The sequence below is a fragment of the Homo sapiens genome, chromosome 15 (genome assembly GCF_000001405.40).
Source record: "Homo sapiens chromosome 15, GRCh38.p14 Primary Assembly".
Classification (NCBI taxonomy): domain Eukaryota; kingdom Metazoa; phylum Chordata; class Mammalia; order Primates; family Hominidae; genus Homo; species Homo sapiens.
Window position 1 is genome coordinate 28,516,609 of NC_000015.10, and position 17,075 is coordinate 28,533,683.

A 17,075-nucleotide genomic window follows, 5' to 3' on the forward strand; every position below is an offset into this window, starting at 1 on the left:
CTAAAAATACAACAATTAGCCGGATGTGGTGCCGGGTGCCTGTAATCCCAGCTACTCGGGAAGCTGAGGCAGGAGAATCGCTTGAACCTGGGAGGTGGAAGTTGCAGTGAGCCAAGATCATGCCACTGCACTCCAGCCTGGGCAACCACAGCAAAATCCCACCTTTAAAAACAAACAAACAAACAAAAAACAACCAAAAAAAAAAACTGTCCATACCATGAATGAAAAATTGTTGATGATGTGTATATGTAGGGCAATTATATCATTTATTATATATAATATATATATTATTTTTCTCAACTTTTTTTTACATCTGAAACTTTCTATTGAACACATGGACATGTCCCTTGATAACTGGGGCTGCTTCCCCATTATTCTCTCAGCAGCCCTTCTGATTTTCACTCCATCTTCATTCTTAGAGATTCTGGATTTTATTTTTTTTTTTTTTGGGAAGTTCAAGTATGTCTTTGCAAGGATTATCCAGCGTGTCTACCTACTCAATCATATTATCAGAAACAGAAAAAGTGTCCAGATTCTTGTCTTGTCCTGTTCAGATTTTTTAAATTCCAAGAACAGTCACCTTCTACCAGACACTCTGATGTTGGAAGACAAAGCATATTTGGTAAGTGGCGTGATTTCTGGGCTCCGATTTAGAACAGTCACAGCTTTCAACAATCCAAAAATAGCTGACTGTGACTCACCATATTTAGAAAGATGGAGATTATTAAAAAAAGAAAACCTTAATTTATCATGTGACCTCTAAGTATCTCGGCTGAAAATTGTAAAGATAGAAAGGTAAATCAAAAGATACAGAGACTGTAATCATGCACTTAATAAAGCGCTAAATCAAAATATATTTGGCATATGTGAAAGAGTTTAATTTTATCCCATTTTCTACTGGCACTATAGGTATTTGTAAGTACATATAAAACTACAGTGTTACATATAAACTACCAAAAAAGAACTTAAGAAACGAGACTAATCTAGCAACTTTATTTAAAAGTTTATCTTAAGGGAATAATTAAGGATGTCCATACAAAAGGATTTAGCCATGACACGAGAATGTTCTTCCTGGCAAATCAATGGAAATTATTAAATGTGCAAAAGGGAACTGTTGGAATAAATTCTAATGCCTTCATATGATCGTATGTCGTAACCTTTTAAAATGATATTAAAGAGTTGCATACATTGACTTAAACAGATATTCATAACACATCACTGAATAGGAGAAATACGGGCCAGCAAAGAACATAGAGTTGGTCCAATTTCTACAAAAAAAAGAAGACTAATAGCATGACGGCAGGGAAGGGGGAATATGTCAATGTATGTGTGTATATATATGTATGCATAGCAAGTATGAACTTGAAAGGATATATATCAAATTGTTTACACAGATTACCTCAGAGAGGTAAATAACTGGCCTTTGGTGTTCTGTGTTCCATAGATTCTGAATTTTCTTTTTTTATTTAAATAGAGATGGGATCTTAGCCAGGAGCAGTGGCTCACACCTGTAATCCCAGCACTTTGGGAGGCTGAGGAGGGCGGATTGCTTAAGGCCAGGAGTTGAAGACCAATCTGGCCAACATGGCAAAACTCTGTCTCTACTAAAAATCCAAAAATTAGCCAGGCGCAGTGGCTTATGCCTATAACCCCAGGTACTCGGGAGGCTGAGGCATAAGAATTGCTTGAACCAGGAGGCGGAGGTTGCAGTGAGCAGAGATTGCACCACTGCACTCCAGCTTAGGCAACAGACCGAGACTCTGTCAAAAAATAAAAACAAAACAAAACACCACCACCAACAACAAAACAGTAATAAAGAGAAAATCTTATGGACAGGAGCAATGTCTCATGCCTGTAACCCCAGTGCTTTGGGAGGCCAAGATGGGAGAATCGCTTGAGCCCAGGAGTTCAAGACCAGCATGGGCAACATAGCAAGACCTTTTCTCTACAAAAAATTTAAAAATTAGCCAGGCATAGTAGTGCATGCTTATACTCCCAGCTACCTGGGAGGCTGAGGTGGGAGGATCACTTGAGCATGAGAGTTGGAGGTTGCAGTGAACTGTGATCACACCACTGGGAAGCCATGACCCCATCCCTGCCTTCTTCCTCTGTCCTATGCTAGCAATAAGTAAGTTTCCCAGCCACAAATAATTATTAGAACCTCCTCCCCATGTGCCACCTCCAACCACCGCTAGGTATGATACAGGGGTGGCCCTACCCTCTGGAATATACAAAACCTTACACAGACACAATATATACACCGGGGAAGGGGGGCCACCCCAGCAGCCCATGCCTTCGCCTGGTCCACAGTTAGCCCCACTGTCCTGCCTCAGCTACCTCTCTGAATAAGAAGATTGGAGCCCCCACTGAGGGAAAAGTTGCTATGGTGAGAGTAAGGAGGCCATGAGGCCTCCTCCAAACAAACCAACTCCACCAGCCTCTGGCTCTTAAATAACAATATCATCCAGAAATTTAAGGACTCAGCTCTGGTCAAGGTGGCAAAGGGTCTGTTTGTCTTTCCTCGTTAGACAGAGGTCTTGTCCTGCTACCCTAATTGTAAAGGGGTGACTGGGAAGGGGAGATAGGGACAGTGTGGTGGTGGAGACCCCAGCCCCACTTCTCCAGGCTTTGCTGACAGGGGCCTGCTTTTAATTTTAATTTTTATTTTTATCCCATGCCTTTTTTTTTAAATCCCATAACTTCTTTTTCATAACTTTTTTTGGTAACTTTTCATAAAACTTTCTTCTACTTTTTGGTCACAAGATTTTTTTGCCACAACTTTTTTACATTTTTTATCCCATAACTTTTTCACCCCATAACTTTTGTTAATCCCATAACTTTTTTATTTTGTGTTCTTTTAATAAACCCTTGCATAGTTATATTACAATTTTGTAAAAATGAAACATTATCTCATGCCAAGCATGCTCAGCATTTGCACAGTATCAATACCTTTAATACTATATTTTTGAAGACACACAGAATAAAATTTTAAGGCAAAAACAGCACTTTGCAACAACTTAATAATTTATTACATTACAGTAGCATCACACCAGCAGTCAATAATGCCACTTTAGGCAAAAGTCTTTCAGTATTTCCGTTTTACATTCCGCTTACAAGAATTCATAAATTGGTAAAATTCATTCTAAGAAAACTTGGCAAATAAAGCTTTGGACTGGAATTGGCATTTCTTTCTCTACTTTTCCTTCCCACCGTTTATTTCCTTTACAGTATTCATATTTTAAAATGTTTTAACTTATTTCAGAACATTAAGATAGCAGTTACATTGTTTAATAGTTATTTTAAAATGACTCTTTCAGATAAAGTTTTAGAGAAACTATAGTATGGATAGGGCTGATTTACATTTTCAAATTTTCTAAAAATCAGCTTTGGTTTTAGAGCTGATTTTTGTTCATTTCTGGAAAACCTATCAGATTTAATCCAATACTTTAAAAATGATTATTATATATTGCAATCTTTAAATCGGTGATTTGATTCTTCCTACAGAAATTCAAATTTATTGAATTGAACTCACATTTTAGAATTCTGTTTCTGATGAACTCTAACCTTCCAATGTTGCCCTCTAAGCAAATTGAAAGCTGCCTTATACCGAATGAGGAAGAATACCAATACTTGGCTGAATGAGGTATCGCAAAAGACTGCATGCACTTTGAAGAAAGACTTAAGTTATAGTCATGCGATTTCCATTCTTTTTAGCTTTTTCTTCAATATACGACAAATATCTACACAAAGAGTGGTATTTCCGTTAATACAGTCAATTTATTTTCCAGATTGACATTCAGCTTAAATATGCCAGTATGTGATTTAATCCACAGGCACCTGATGAACACATTATTGTCAGATTGGTTACAGATGCTCGTAGTTGTCTTTAAACTGAACTCAAAGAATGCAAAAACATCAAGTTCAGAAAATAAAAGGCAAGGACAGGACTTTAAGTGCATTTTAAAGCCACGGGCGAGAAATCGTACCACTGTTAACTAGCCGCATTATTTGGTCTAACATTTTTTCTTTATCATTCTGAAACTGGGTTTATCTAATACATTGATACATTCATACAATTTGGAAGAGTCCGTTGAAGTCACAAGGACCCGATGTTTGCACTCTTTCAGTGATTGCCGGCAAATCTGTTATTCCATCGGCAAAATCGTACTGCTGCTCTCCTGTTAATGTCGTATTTATAAAAGTATCATGAGGATGCCAAATGCTAAAAATGGAGATGGTCTAGTAACTAGAAATCCCCACCCCAGGGAGCACACATACATATCTCCCTACATCCTAATAATGTGATGTGTTTTGGAACACAGACATTAGAACTTCATGAAGTTTTAACTGTTGAGTCTTTCCCAAGCATCATCAAGTTATGATTTAGGCAATGTACAACTGAAATTCATTCATTCATCATGCATAGGCACAATCACATAAATACTGCACAAAATATGCCCGTAAGTGAAACCCAGAGGTACAGAAACACATTTCACTCTTCACAAAGAAGTTTGTGAGGAAATATAACTCTGTGATTGTATAGACATGTTTCCTGATAATACACTGACATTCACCAACAGTAGATTGCACTGCAGTTTGTACACATTTTAAGTTGCATAAACTTCTCCTTGATTTTCAAAGATAGTATAATACTGTCTACTAAAACTCCTTTTTGTTTCAACTAAGCACTCTCACATATATTAGTTTATAACAATGTTTATTATTATTTCAAAGTGTTTTCCATTCAAGGAAAAGAAGTCAATTCCTATGTCAAAGTAACCAAGGTGGTTGAAGAATAGGCAGAGTGGTCTAGATGGTAAAATCAATCTTCAAGCCTCAAAGAAGCTCCATGAACAGAGGAATGCCAGGTGTCACACAGCTTTCCTTCACTCTAATTCATTCTTGACTAGAGCCTGTATGCCTGTTCCAGGGACATTTGAACTCTTAAAGGATTTCTTATGATCTTTACTAAATACATTAAGAAGAATGCCAACCAGTGCCCTTTTGTGTACTGGGACATGCAGTCATGTGATTAAAACAGGTAACATGAACTCTGACTTTAAAATATAGATACAAATGCTCTAAGCTAGGAAAGGTTTTCCACAACCGTAGTCAATGATGGGAACCTTTCATTCCTCAGAAATAAGCCCTTTTTAGGTCATCAAAAAAGAGTACAACTGCTGAAGCTCATGATGCAATATCTTCATGAGCCCAGAGCACATACAAATCCTAAAGGAACTACAATAGTACAGCACTAATTCTTGGCAACAGAACAAATGAAACACACTCTATCTTGCACATACCTGCCAGAGCAGGCAACTTTCCTCTTCTGTGAAATTTAAAAAGCTCCCCCAAAATGTTATTACTCCCATCACCAATACACAGAAAATGAGGAAAAGGCTGTTTCCAGTTCTCGGCCTTTAAACAACTCTAAATGTCAGTACTCTTGGTGGCATATTACAAAGTATTAAATAGTGCACACTTGGGGCAAACCACATATTGTGCTAATGAAGAGCTCACTGTGATTAAGATTAGATCAAACAACAGCAGAACATAGGCACATTTTATCTGAATTCTGTAATGAATATACATGCTGCAATAACATTAAAAACACATGGCAGCCTATTCCAAACCAGCAAGAATAGTTTTGTGCAAATAGTGGGTCTTTGTGTGTTTGAACTCCCACCACGTAAGGGCAAACTCAATATGCATGCTAATGACCTACAATTATGAAATTGAAAAAGAAAATTGCGAAAGTATGCCAGAGTGAACATCAGTGAAAGCCACAGAGACCCACTCTCTTTTAACTATTTACAAATGAACTTAAACTATAAATTAGAAACACAAATAATCATAAGTGGCTATAACATTCAAATGAAGTAAATGAATTGTGTAGGAGATTAACCCCATAACTTTGTTTCTTTTTTAAAAATTTCTTCAGCAGCTCTTTGACGATGGTGATGTTTATCTCCTTCTTCTTGGCAGCCAAGCCCAGCAAAAGAATGGCACACAGCAGTTGCTGCCCAAGCCTGGGTGCTCCTGGTGGTCCTGCACGATCGGCTGTGCAGTAGGGTTGTCGTGGGGAGAACCCTCCCTGGCCTCTCCTTGCACAGGCTCCACGCTGTCAGTGAGGCTCACCTCACAAAGATCTTTGGAGAGAGGGAGGCGGGGATCTGAGCTCAGTGAGAGCCCCCCTGCTCCTGCCTGCCCACCCCGCCTGAGGGCTCTACTCACCACCATGCTTGTGGGCAGCCCCAAGCTCCTGGGGGGCTGGGGCTCCTGGACTGGGCTCATGAGCAGGGTTCTGGGCAGTCACCAAGAATTTGCTGTGTCCCTTGTAGTCGCCACCAGCTGCAACACCATCTCCTGCAGCTCCAGCAGCTTCACCTGGAGGGAGGGGTGCTCAGCTGTCACGCTGCTGCCAGCGCTCACCGTCACAGCCACCCCCACCCCCGCAGAGATGTTGCACACTCTACCTTCATCTCCTCCCTGTCCAGGGCCAGCCTGATGGTGTCCTCCTCCCGGTGCTGCATCTTTGGCACTGCCCCCTGGCTTTGTTATAGGGTGATAAACTTTCCTGCGGGAGGACAGGGCTCAGACGCTGGGGCCCCTCCAACAGCCCTGCAGCTCCCCCTGCCATGCCCTGGCCTCCCACTCACTGATGGCATCTCTCTCTGTAGTACTGGAAGAATCCAAGTTCTTCTTTCTCCACCAGCTCACTCAGGTCTGCCTTCTCCTCCAGGTGGTCCATAAAGCCGCTCTGGAGCCAAAATAATGGGGTCACATCTCGCCAGCGACCTGCCCTCAGGTGGCATTTTCAAGTCATGGAGAAGGCGGAGGTGAGTTCCGGCATGGGCCAGCTTCTCCGTGACTTCCTGCAGGGCCCGGTGGGTCTCCCCACTCACAGACTCGCCCCCAGGCCCTGGGGCTCCAGGGCCTCTGGCTGCCTCTGGCTCCTTCTGGGCCGAGGCCACCGGGTGAGCCAGGCGCTGGCAGCACACCCTCTGCTCTTTCACCTGCTCTTGTAACTGTGCCTGCTTCTCCTGGGCACTAGCTCCAGCGGACTTGAAAAATGCCACCTGAGGGCAAGATGTGAGCATTCTTGCAGGGGCATACACAGAACAAATGGGGCAGAGAGGTGGAGCGCAGCCCCTTCCCTTGGGGCCCCAGAGACTGCACATGTTGGTCACAGGTGAAATGGTGTCTGACCACTGGCTCCCAGAAGGGGTGAGGGTCCAGAGAAATCAGAAGGCAGGGAAACGAAGAGCATAAAGGGGTCTTGGAGGGACCACAGAGGAAGGAGGCAAAATGGGTTCAGGTGGAGTCAGGCTTACCATGGCCTCCCTGCTCTCCAGGTCCTGTGGGATGCTAGGAATGGGCCGAGGTGCCTCCTCCCCCTCACTGTCCAGATGTCCTCCTCCATCTCCTGGGGGTGGGGGTGGTGGCCAGAGGGGTCCTCAGACAACTCAACAAGGGAAGTATTGTGGGCCCACCTCTGCCTCCACCCTCATTGTGTAACCCTGAGCCAGGCCCTCCCCAGAGAGGAATGAGCTGCTGTTATTTATTTTTACTTTGAAGAACCAAGATCTTGCTATACTGCCCAGGCACATTCCCACTACTGGTCGGTGCGGGAGTTCTGACCTGCTCCCTTTCTGACCTCGGCCAGTTCAGCCATCCTTAGGCAACTTGGTGGCCCCCCGCTCACAGGAGGTCACCATATTGATGCTGAACTTAGTGCAGGCACCCGGTTAGTATAATGACCAGCTGTTCTAAAGGTCTCTTCCAACTCCTCAATCCTATGCTGCTAGCAGTCCCCCCTTCCTCCTGGGGCTCTCTCCTCTTCCTCTGAGCGGTCTCCCGTACCTTCCCCAGGGAGAGCCATGAGGCTCAACTGGGCCGTTAGCTGCTGTTTCTGCTGGCTCGCAGCTTCCAGACGCTCCTAAGGGGCCAGGAAAGAGTGAGAAGGCACAGAGTTTGCCAGGTCGTCCCCCTCACAGCCCCATCCTCGGCAGCTCCCTCCCCTGGGTCTCCTGCAACTTTTGGCAGGCCATCTCGGCCACCGCTTTGCCCCAAGCTTCCTGCTGCTGCAACTGGTTCATTAGCTGGGTCTGCTGCAGTCACTGCCTGTACAGCGCCTCCTTCTCACAGGTCAGCTGCTGATAGGCGGCCACCTGCTGCTGATAGGTGGCCACGTACTGCTGCAGGTGACCCAGGTAATGGTCTGGCTGCTGCTGCAGACTCTGAGCCTCTTGGCTCTTCAGCTCCACCTGCAGGAAGACCCTGGGTGTGAGGGCACGTGGTGGCTGGTTTGCAGATTCTGGGCCCATTAATAGGGTAGCGAGGGCACTGTGGGGCTCTGTCGCCTGCCCAGGCCCCTGGCCCCTTACTTCAGGCCTAAGTGACTGCCTTGCTTTCCTAGAACCCCATGCCTCCTTCCCCAGCCTCAAATCTCATGTCCTCTTCCCACCATTTCAACTGTAGGCCACAGAATGGTAGAAAAGTATGGGAGCCAACCACCATCTGCTAAATGTGCTACAGGCCTAATGCTTCCCATGTATTATCTCATTTAATCCTCAGCACCTCTGTAAGGAAAATGCTAACTTCCTTTTGAAGTTAAAGAAACAGAGACTTAGAGATGCGAAGTACTTGAATGGTGACCAGTGGAACTGAGGCTGGAATCCAGTTTTAATCTAAGGAGTCTTTTTGTTTTGTTTTGAGACAGAGTGTCACTCTGTGGCCCAGGCAGGAGTGCAGTGGTGCAATCTCAGCTCACTGCAACCTCCACCTCCTGGGCTCAAGCAATTCTCGTGCCTCAGCCTCCTGAGTAGGTGGGATTACAGGCATGCGCCACCACCATGCCCCACTAATTTTTCTTTCTTTTTTTGTTTTTTGTTTTTGTAATTTTAGTAGAGATGAGGTTTTACCATGTTGGCCAGGCTGATCTCAAACTCCAAACCTCAAGTGATTCTCCTGCCTCAGCCTCCCAAAGTGTTGGCACTATAGGCGTAAGCCACCGCATCTGGCATAAGAAGACTGTTATACCACTCTGTCTCTTCCCCTGTGATTGGGGGGGCTCCATGTCTCTAGCTGGAATGATGATGTCCAGACCTGGGAGGAGCCCAGGGCTACCCACCTCTAAAATCAGAGGGCAGGAAGCAAGAAACAGCCACAGGACTGCCCTGGAGGGTGCTGGGGTCACCTGCCCCCGGGCTGGAGCTACCGCTGGCCTGGCACCTCCCCTCCCCAGAGGCTGGTGCCCACCCACCTCCCAGACCTTCTTGGATGGGGTGGAGGTTACCGTCTCCTTCACCTTGCCTAGCTTCTCCTGCAGCTCCTTTACTTGCTGCTCCAACTGTAGTACGCTCTTGTTCTCATTGTTCTGGACAGAGAGAAGCAATCAGCAGCCACCCACTGCAGCTGGAGACCCCAGAACTTGGTGACTGCCTCCCATGGCACCGGGAAGGGTGGAGGCAGGTTAGAAAAATCATCCCCTGTCTCCCACAGCCACCAGAGCAGGGCTCTGGCTCACAGGTGCCTTTAGGAGTAACATTTCACTTGAGGGCTACACTGCCCCATTTTATAGGTGGGGAAACAAAGGCCTGGAGGGCTAGGGAGGAGGGCAAGCTCCCCAGCTGGGGCAACGCACCAGCTCCTTGAAGCTGTTCTGTGGCTCGGCCAGCTGCTGAAGCCTCTCCTCCTGCTCTGGAAGCCTCTCCTGCTGCTCCTGAAGCCTCTCCTCCTGCTCCCGAAGCCTCTCCTTTTGCCCCTCATTCAGGAGACTTATGCGCTGATTGTACTCCACCTGGGCCTGGAGCTCTCCTGCCACTCTCTCTAGTTCCTTCCTCAGGTGCTGCAGCTCCACCTCAGAGGGCACTGCTGGGGGCTCCGGGGGCAGAGGTTCAGCTGAGAAAGGAAGCAGACAATAAGAGCCTCTGGATTCCAAAAAAAAAAAAAGAAAAGAAAAGAAAAGAAAAAACCCTCCTCTTGGCGCACAGCTCCTCTCCGGCTCCTCAAACTTAGCCTCACTGCTAATGATTCCTCGCACCCAGATGGTAGCCAGTCTTCCAAAGCACTTTCAGAGAAAGAGCACTGCGGGTGGCTGACAACGGGCCCTCTTTGCTGATGGGGACACTGAGGCTCATTGAGATGACAAGACTTGCCGTCTCCTGGCACAGACCTCTTTCCCTCTGCCTCAAAGCCCTTCCATCCACCCACCTCGCTGGGGCACTCCAAGCCACCCTCACAGCCCTCTGATGCCAGTCCTGCTGCCAGGTCACGCCAGCCCCATCTTACCCATCTGGTGTTTGAGTTTGGACAAGCTCCTCTCCAGCTTCTCTACCCGATATTTATCATGCTTCTTCTCCTTCTTCAACGAGCAAACCTGCCCAAAGCACAGGGGGAAAGGGCCCTGGAGAGAGGGGCTGGAGGCTGGACATGCTACCATCTCCCTCTCTGCCCCCACCTCCACAAAGCCCAGTCCCAGGACCACCTCTGGCTCTACTATTCCCATTTTACAGGTGCCCAGAAAGATCCAGTGACCTATCTAATGTGGGGGGGCTGAAGGGTCAGATCTCACCTCCTGCGACATTTTTCTCATCCTCTGCTGCCACCGGGCCCTCTCTCCTTTTAGATGTTCAGCATATTCATCCCTCTCTAGCTGGACTTCTTTAAGTGACTCCTTCAACTGCAAGAATGGGCACAGAAATTAGGAAGGGCTGTCACTGGTCCTCACCTGCTCCTGGTTACCTGGGGTCATCTTCCTTCCACATCCCTCCCTCTGAACACCTCACCTGTGTCAGCTGCGCTTTCAGCAGTGCCTGCTCCCGCATGGACTGCTCTAACTTCCACTCCATACGTGCTTTACTGCGGCTGGAGAACTGCTGAAGAGTGAGAAGTTTCAATCTGGTGAGGCCGGGCCATTCCACACAGTGCCCCTTAAAAGGGCCAGGGCTAGGCCCAATATACAACTCGGTCAGTAAAGATCAAGGCATTTCCAAGCCCGTGGTTTGGTTTTTAAAGAACTCAGTAAAGTTGGAAGGGACAGGGAAAGAGATCGAATTTATAGCTGGCTAACAGAGGCCCAGAGAGATCAGATAATATTGCTATTGTTATTACTGTTATTATTACCACTGTTTGAACTTTTATGGAGTGCTTCACCAGATACCATGCTAGCAATCCCATTTAATCCTCGCAACTACCATGGGAGACAGTTACTATGATGACCTCTATTGTGTAGATGAAAAAACATGGAGTATTTGAGGTTAAGTGCTTGCCTAAGATCACTTAGGCAGAGCTGGGATTTAAACACCCAGATCTATCCAATTCTCTAAGCCCATTTTTCTTGCTGGGGGTGGGGGCACAGCTAGGAAGGGGAAAATTAATCTTTTGTTCACTTTTTGAAAGGATAATACATTCACATAGTCCCAAACTCAGAAGGTACAGAAGGGAAGTATCTCCCAGCCACCCTGTTGCTCTCTCCTGAGTTTTTATGAACACTTGCAAACATATTTTATGTATATTATCATAATATGTACACACACACACACGTTTCCTCTCTCTACAGAAATGGTAACATACTAAAGGTACTCTTCTGTACCTTCACAGTACAAGTACCCAATACCCACTGAGGACTTGGCCAAGACCACAGCCAGGTAAAGGCATGGCAGGCACTTGGCCTCCAAGCTCTACGTCCTGTGCTCTCTCCCCAGAGTGCCCCCCAACTCACCCACAGCAGCTGACTCAGTCCCAAGCTGCCGCTAACAACCATACAAAAAAGCAGTGAGAAATGGCCATGCTGCCTTCTGGGCAGGACACTCCATCCTGCAGAAGGGACCTTTAGGCTCACTCCTCTGTCTGCGAAGCCAGGCTCCCAGGGGACGGGGCAGGTGGTTGGACTCACCCTCTCCGCCTTCTTCTTCTGTGTGGCGGTGACAGCAGAGAGAGCCCGCTCTAACTCTCCTTTACGCTGCAATGAATGTTGCAGACGGACGGCCAGATCCTTGGACTCTTCTGTAATGAGAGAGTTGAGATGGGGCCCAAAGGACTCCCCCTGAAGACCTGTCAAAGTGCCAGGTTGAAGGATGACAGGGTACCCAGATTCCCACCTTCAAAGTATCTGAGAGAACGTTTCGTGTGGTACAGGTCCGTATTTAGTTTCCCTTTCTGTATGTTCAATCTCTGGATTTGAACCTTTGGGAGAAAAGCCAAGCAAGTGCTGAAAGAGAAGGAAAGAAACATTCTCCGGAGGACAGGAGAAAACTGCACACCGTCCACTCACCTCTAGCTCCCTTTCGGCTTTCTGTTTCTCGTTGTTTGCTTTCTTTTCCTGTAGGAAGAGGAAGACAGAGATCTAACCAGGCAGAGGCAGAGATGGTACTGCAAGAGACATGTCCCCAGAATGCCACCACTGCCCCTGCCCCGGGACAGGCCCACCCATGGGACCGGGTTATCAGGGACCCTGTGGGGGATGGGGTGGACTCTGGGGGGTGAGCCTTCTTCCCCAGGCTGGGAGTGGGTGAGACGAGACTCGGGGCCTCTACATCTGAGTGTCCCCCAAACCGAGCAGTCATGTCGCGAGCAAACAAAGAAATCATGTTACTTCTTCCAGCTGATGTTCCACTTGTTTATTCTGTTGTTTCTGTGGGGAGAGTCACATTAAGGTGATGGAGGGTGGCCCCCTCAACTCTATTCCCCAGAGCAGGAAGTGGTAGGCAGGGGCCAGGAATGGATTTTAAAGGCAAAGTTCTCAGACCCAGTGGGAACTCGAACTGGTAAACTCTCCTCAAGCTCCCAAGGACAGAGGATTTGGGTCTTTGTTGGCTTTTGTCCACAGCCACAGAACTCAAGGTCTGAATCTGGAATCTCTTGACAGGACAGTAACATAAACCTCTAGAGATGGAGTTTGAGAAAGGCCCCCCCTTCTGCCAGCTTGTGATTTAGAAAAGTGCATTCATTCAATAAACATTTACTGAGCACGTACGGGCCAAGTACGGTTCTTCACAGAAGATTTAGGGCGGAAAAGGACAGACAGGAGCCTTTGGCCCTGAGGTTTCCATTCTAGGAGGCCTTTAAATCTCAGACTCGAGAGCTAACAGAGACCTTTGATACTCACTACTTCCTCTGGAAACATGAGCCCAAAAAGGAGAGGTGGCTTGTCCAGAATCAAAGAGCAAATTAGGGACTGAGTCATGGCAGAAATACGGGGCCCCTGACAACCAGTCAGGCTAGCACTTCCCCAAGAGGCAACAATCCCAGGGCGTGTGTAGCAAGGACTCGAGCAGGGGCGTCTGGAGAGGGGAGAGTCAGCAAACAGGGCAGCAAAAAAAGAGCCATGCTGCATGCTCCGGGGTCCCTCCAGGTGAGGCCTGGGCGCCCCAGCTCCCTATTCGCCCTTGGCACCAGGGGCCGCCGTCCCCTTTCTTCAGGGCCCCAAGGGGAAACTAGAGCCCAGGATTGGCAGCGTGGAATCAGGGGACCCCAGTGGACTCTTACCAAAGATTTGATGGTGTTCTTCAGTTGACTGACTTTTACGGACCTCGAGTCTGGGACTACTGCTAGTTCTTGGCACGGGCTCTGAGGCGCATGCAGAGAGGAGGAGGTGGAGGAGGAGTGGGGGGAGAGGTAGAGAGAGCAATCATTAGGGCTGGGGTGTGTGTGGACTGTCTCAGCTGGCAGAGGGGCACCCCGTCCCACCTGGAGGAGGAGGTTGGAGGGCTGGCCTGCAGGGTCACTGCACCTCTGCCCAGAGCCTCTTACCTCCAGATCCTTCAGGGTAGCAGATGATGTAGGGCTCTCCCCGTGGATACCTGTTGCTGACTACAAGAGATGAGAGTGCACATGAAGATGTTCTGTCCCACTCAGTATCTAAGCCCTCTGACTTCTTTTCTTCCCCATCAACTGGCACAATTTTCTTTTCTGCCTATCTTGGACCCTTTGTCCCATAACTCCTTTGTGCCAACTTCTCTCATGGTTCTTATCTCCCCACCACAGCACCCTGTGGCCCTTTCAGTGACTCCTGTGCCAAGTGACTGTTCTCATTGTCCTGGCTTCCCCTTGAGACTGGGGATGAGGAAAATCGAACAGCAATGACCATATCCTGGGTGTTCTGGGTGTTTACAGCAGGCCATGTACTAGGGATTAACATAAAAACAACAATAACAAATCTCATTTAAACTTCACAAATGGAAGTGAAACAATACCACCTCTATTATACAGATGTGAAAAGAGAGGCCCGATGAGGTCTAGCAACTTGCCCTAATTCATATCCCTAGCAGACAAAGAGGCAGGATTCAAACCCAGAATTCTTCACAGGTACCCAACAGTCCATCCACAATCTTAACAATTACCCTCTAGTGCCCCTTGGGTCCCCTGTCCCCAGGAACCTAGTCAGCCAAGACTCACATCTCCAGGTGAGTGGCAACCACCAGAAGTGGCTGTCTCATGGATGCTGCCATTTGTTTTCCTGTTCCTCTTGGCTCCTGCTGGAACACCAGGGCTGTTTCTCTGCCAATATTCTTTTAACTGTCAGAAATAAGAGCAGTAATACTCATGAGAACTATCAGCCCCTGCAGCCACATCCTCCTTTACAGTTTTTATAAAATACTCTTATACACCATCTGATTTAATGATACCAACAACTGTACAAGGTGTTGTCACAATCATTTAGTGACTCAAAGAGATTGATATCATGGCTAGAAAAAAAAAGAAGAAAAGAAAAAGGCGACAGACGAACTTTGAAACTCAGTCTTCTGACTCCAAACTCTGGGGTTTTACCAAGAATCATCAGCTGCCAGGGACCAAAACCAGAGGCAGAGGTAGAAAAGTAAACATTAAGTAGGCAGGAACTGTATGCCATGTGGTTTAGTCATACATCCTCACACGTCTGTTAGTGTGAAGAAGTGCACCAGTACCTCTCAAACTCTTATATCAATGTGTCCTCATGGCAGAAGGCAGCCTTTCTGTTAAATCTGGGAATTTATCAGAAAGAGGACAACCCAAGCCTCATTTCAGAGAGAAGTCTGGTATACTGTTAGAAACCTATGTGACTGTCATCCCTAAGTACATTAATGTTTTTTCTCTTGATCTCAAGAGAATCAATGGAAACTGATGCTTCAGAAAGATGTCCCATATGTATCCTGTGGCACTCAAAGTACCCCAGGTTTACATAATATGAGGAAGATTCAAGCTGTCAAGTTCAGTTTCCCAAGATCTATTCCACAGAAGATGAGCAAATCTCACTTCACAGACCACTGGCTGAAGGGCAGTCTGGTCCCAGAACCATGGAGAATTAGAATGTGAGGTGGAGAACTCACAAAAAATTTGTTAAAATCTCTCTGGAAAGTAGAAGCCTGGGAGAAAACCAAACCAAGTCAAACCCATTCTCCAGTTGCCATCCAGAGGTACTGTCAATGTTTTGAGCTCACAGGGGAAGTGTAGGCTTTTCCCGCTGTCAATGTTTATGCTAAGGGAGTGAGGCAGCCTGAAACCTCTTGCTCCTAGGTCCCAATCTCCATTCCCCTTCCAGCTGGAAATTTGTGCTGTGACAAGAGGAACCAGAAATGGGGTGGCAATGCTTAGGGGACTGGGTCATAAGATCAAAGGCCAGTCTTGCAGTAATGACAGTTACTGGATGGACCGTGACATCACTACATTCCACTCTTCCTGGTGAGGGGGAGGGACCACATCAGCATGATGTCCGAGTCACCGCTCCATGATAGGGGAGGGAAAAACAGAGCTGGGACCCAGGTCCTTGGAGACACCAGTGCACACAGCCTAGGGAGGTCCACCTTGAGGCAGCAGGAGGGAAGGGAAGAGTCAGCAGCAGGGAGCCCCAGGATTCACCAGCCTAAAGTCACCCAGGGATGACTGGTGAGGGTGGGGTCTGGGGCTGTGGGACCCAGGTCCTTGGAGATGTGAGCCCAAAAAGCCCTGGGAGGTCAAGCTTGGGGTGGCAGGAGATGAGGGCCCAGTAAAGGAGCGGGGAGCCCCAGGATTCACCTGCCCAAAGTCACCCTGGGGTGATTGGTGAGGGCAGAGACTGGGCTGCTTGCTGAAGGGGTGGGGCTGACTGACAAAACTTTGGTGGGGGTAGCCCAGAGGCACCGGTGTGGGGGTCCCAGTCCGGTGAACCTCGGGAGTGGTATGGACTCTGGCAGCAGTCTTGTCGTTGGAGAGGATCTATGGCTGGGTTGGGGGTCCGTGACCTGGTGTGTTTTTACCTTTCTCTTGGCTGCTGCCAATTTACTTTGTCGAGTTTCTTCTGCCATCGCAGGGTGGGGAGGGAGGCGGGCTTGGGGCCACATCAGCAAAATCCCACCAAGCACTGATCAACACCTCCAGTCACCTACCAGGTAGCTGTGCGACTGAGCCAGAGGAGGCGTAACCAGGGATGCAGTAGAAGGCAGAATAGGGGCGTGGCCTTAATGCTCCAAGCCCATTGGTTAATGAGAAAGATGAAAGGGAAAGGGGGCGTGGCCAGGCATCATGTGTCCAGAGGGACCTTTGGCTCACAAGGAAAGCTGCCCAGGCAACCACTGTCCCCACCCACCCTAAGAGAGGGGAGAGGCCGCCAACTCTGGGAGAGGGGCAGGGCCGGCTTTTGCTTTAAAAGCTTTTAAAAATATATATATGTGTATACTTTATATATATGTGTGTCTGTGTGTGTGTACCTGTGTGTTCCTCCAGAGCTGTCTTCATGATCCAGCTTCTATGCAAGGTCTATGATTTTGGCCTATATTTTTCATAGAGTACAAAAATTACCAGTATTACCTTAACCGAGATACAGATCCTATGAACATGGAAAATCCATAGCATGCTTGATGATTACTGAAGCAGACTATATTATCCAACATTCCAATAAGATAAAATAATCACAATGACTTCTCTTTTTTGGAAAAATGTTTCTCTTATTCTCCTACGTTATTGTGAAGACTTTTTTTCTTAAACAAGAAACATGTGTAATATTTGTAAAAACACAAAGCTTTTGGGCCGGGTGCAGTGGCTTATGCGTATAATTCCAGCACTTTAGGAGCCTGAGGCTGGCGGATCATGAGGTCAGGAGATTGAGACCATCCTGA

The 17,075-nt window shown here is 47.2% G+C and overlaps 1 protein-coding gene across 7 annotated transcripts, besides 1 other annotated feature; it reads right to left on the reverse strand.

Moving 5' to 3' along the window:
* Positions 1–3,002: 3,002 nt before the first annotated feature.
* GOLGA8G (golgin A8 family member G) lies at positions 3,003–16,389 on the reverse strand. Of its 7 annotated transcripts, none has more exons than XM_024449906.2 (20): positions 16,347–16,389; positions 14,401–14,520; positions 13,756–13,815; positions 13,492–13,572; positions 12,599–12,637; positions 12,278–12,325; positions 12,105–12,189; positions 11,900–12,009; positions 10,791–10,880; positions 10,577–10,684; positions 10,294–10,381; positions 9,647–9,903; positions 9,311–9,379; positions 7,864–7,939; positions 7,335–7,426; positions 7,017–7,079; positions 6,660–6,760; positions 6,477–6,577; positions 6,235–6,387; positions 3,003–6,149 (listed from the first exon to the last, which is right to left on the reverse strand). In XM_024449906.2, exons 9-20 carry the CDS (start codon positions 10,851–10,853, stop codon positions 5,965–5,967), a joined length of 1,356 nt encoding a protein of 451 aa, XP_024305674.1. In that variant the 5' UTR covers positions 10,854–10,880; positions 11,900–12,009; positions 12,105–12,189; positions 12,278–12,325; positions 12,599–12,637; positions 13,492–13,572; positions 13,756–13,815; positions 14,401–14,520; positions 16,347–16,389; the 3' UTR covers positions 3,003–5,964. The 7 variants fall into 7 exon arrangements, 6 of the variants coding, with proteins under 6 accessions (XP_024305674.1, XP_024305673.1, XP_024305672.1 ...); XM_024449905.2 differs by having other exon boundaries at positions 10,791–10,877; positions 16,218–16,363; XM_024449904.2 differs by having other exon boundaries at positions 16,218–16,363.
* Positions 15,943–16,442: an enhancer, noted in NCBI's record as "H3K4me1 hESC enhancer chr15:28777697-28778196 (GRCh37/hg19 assembly coordinates)". NCBI's record gives its function as "activates a minimal SCP1, AML or CMV promoter by ChIP-STARR-seq in primed H9 embryonic stem cells {active_cell/tissue: H9 hESC(primed)}" and the evidence as "EXISTENCE:reporter gene assay evidence [ECO:0000049][PMID:30033119]".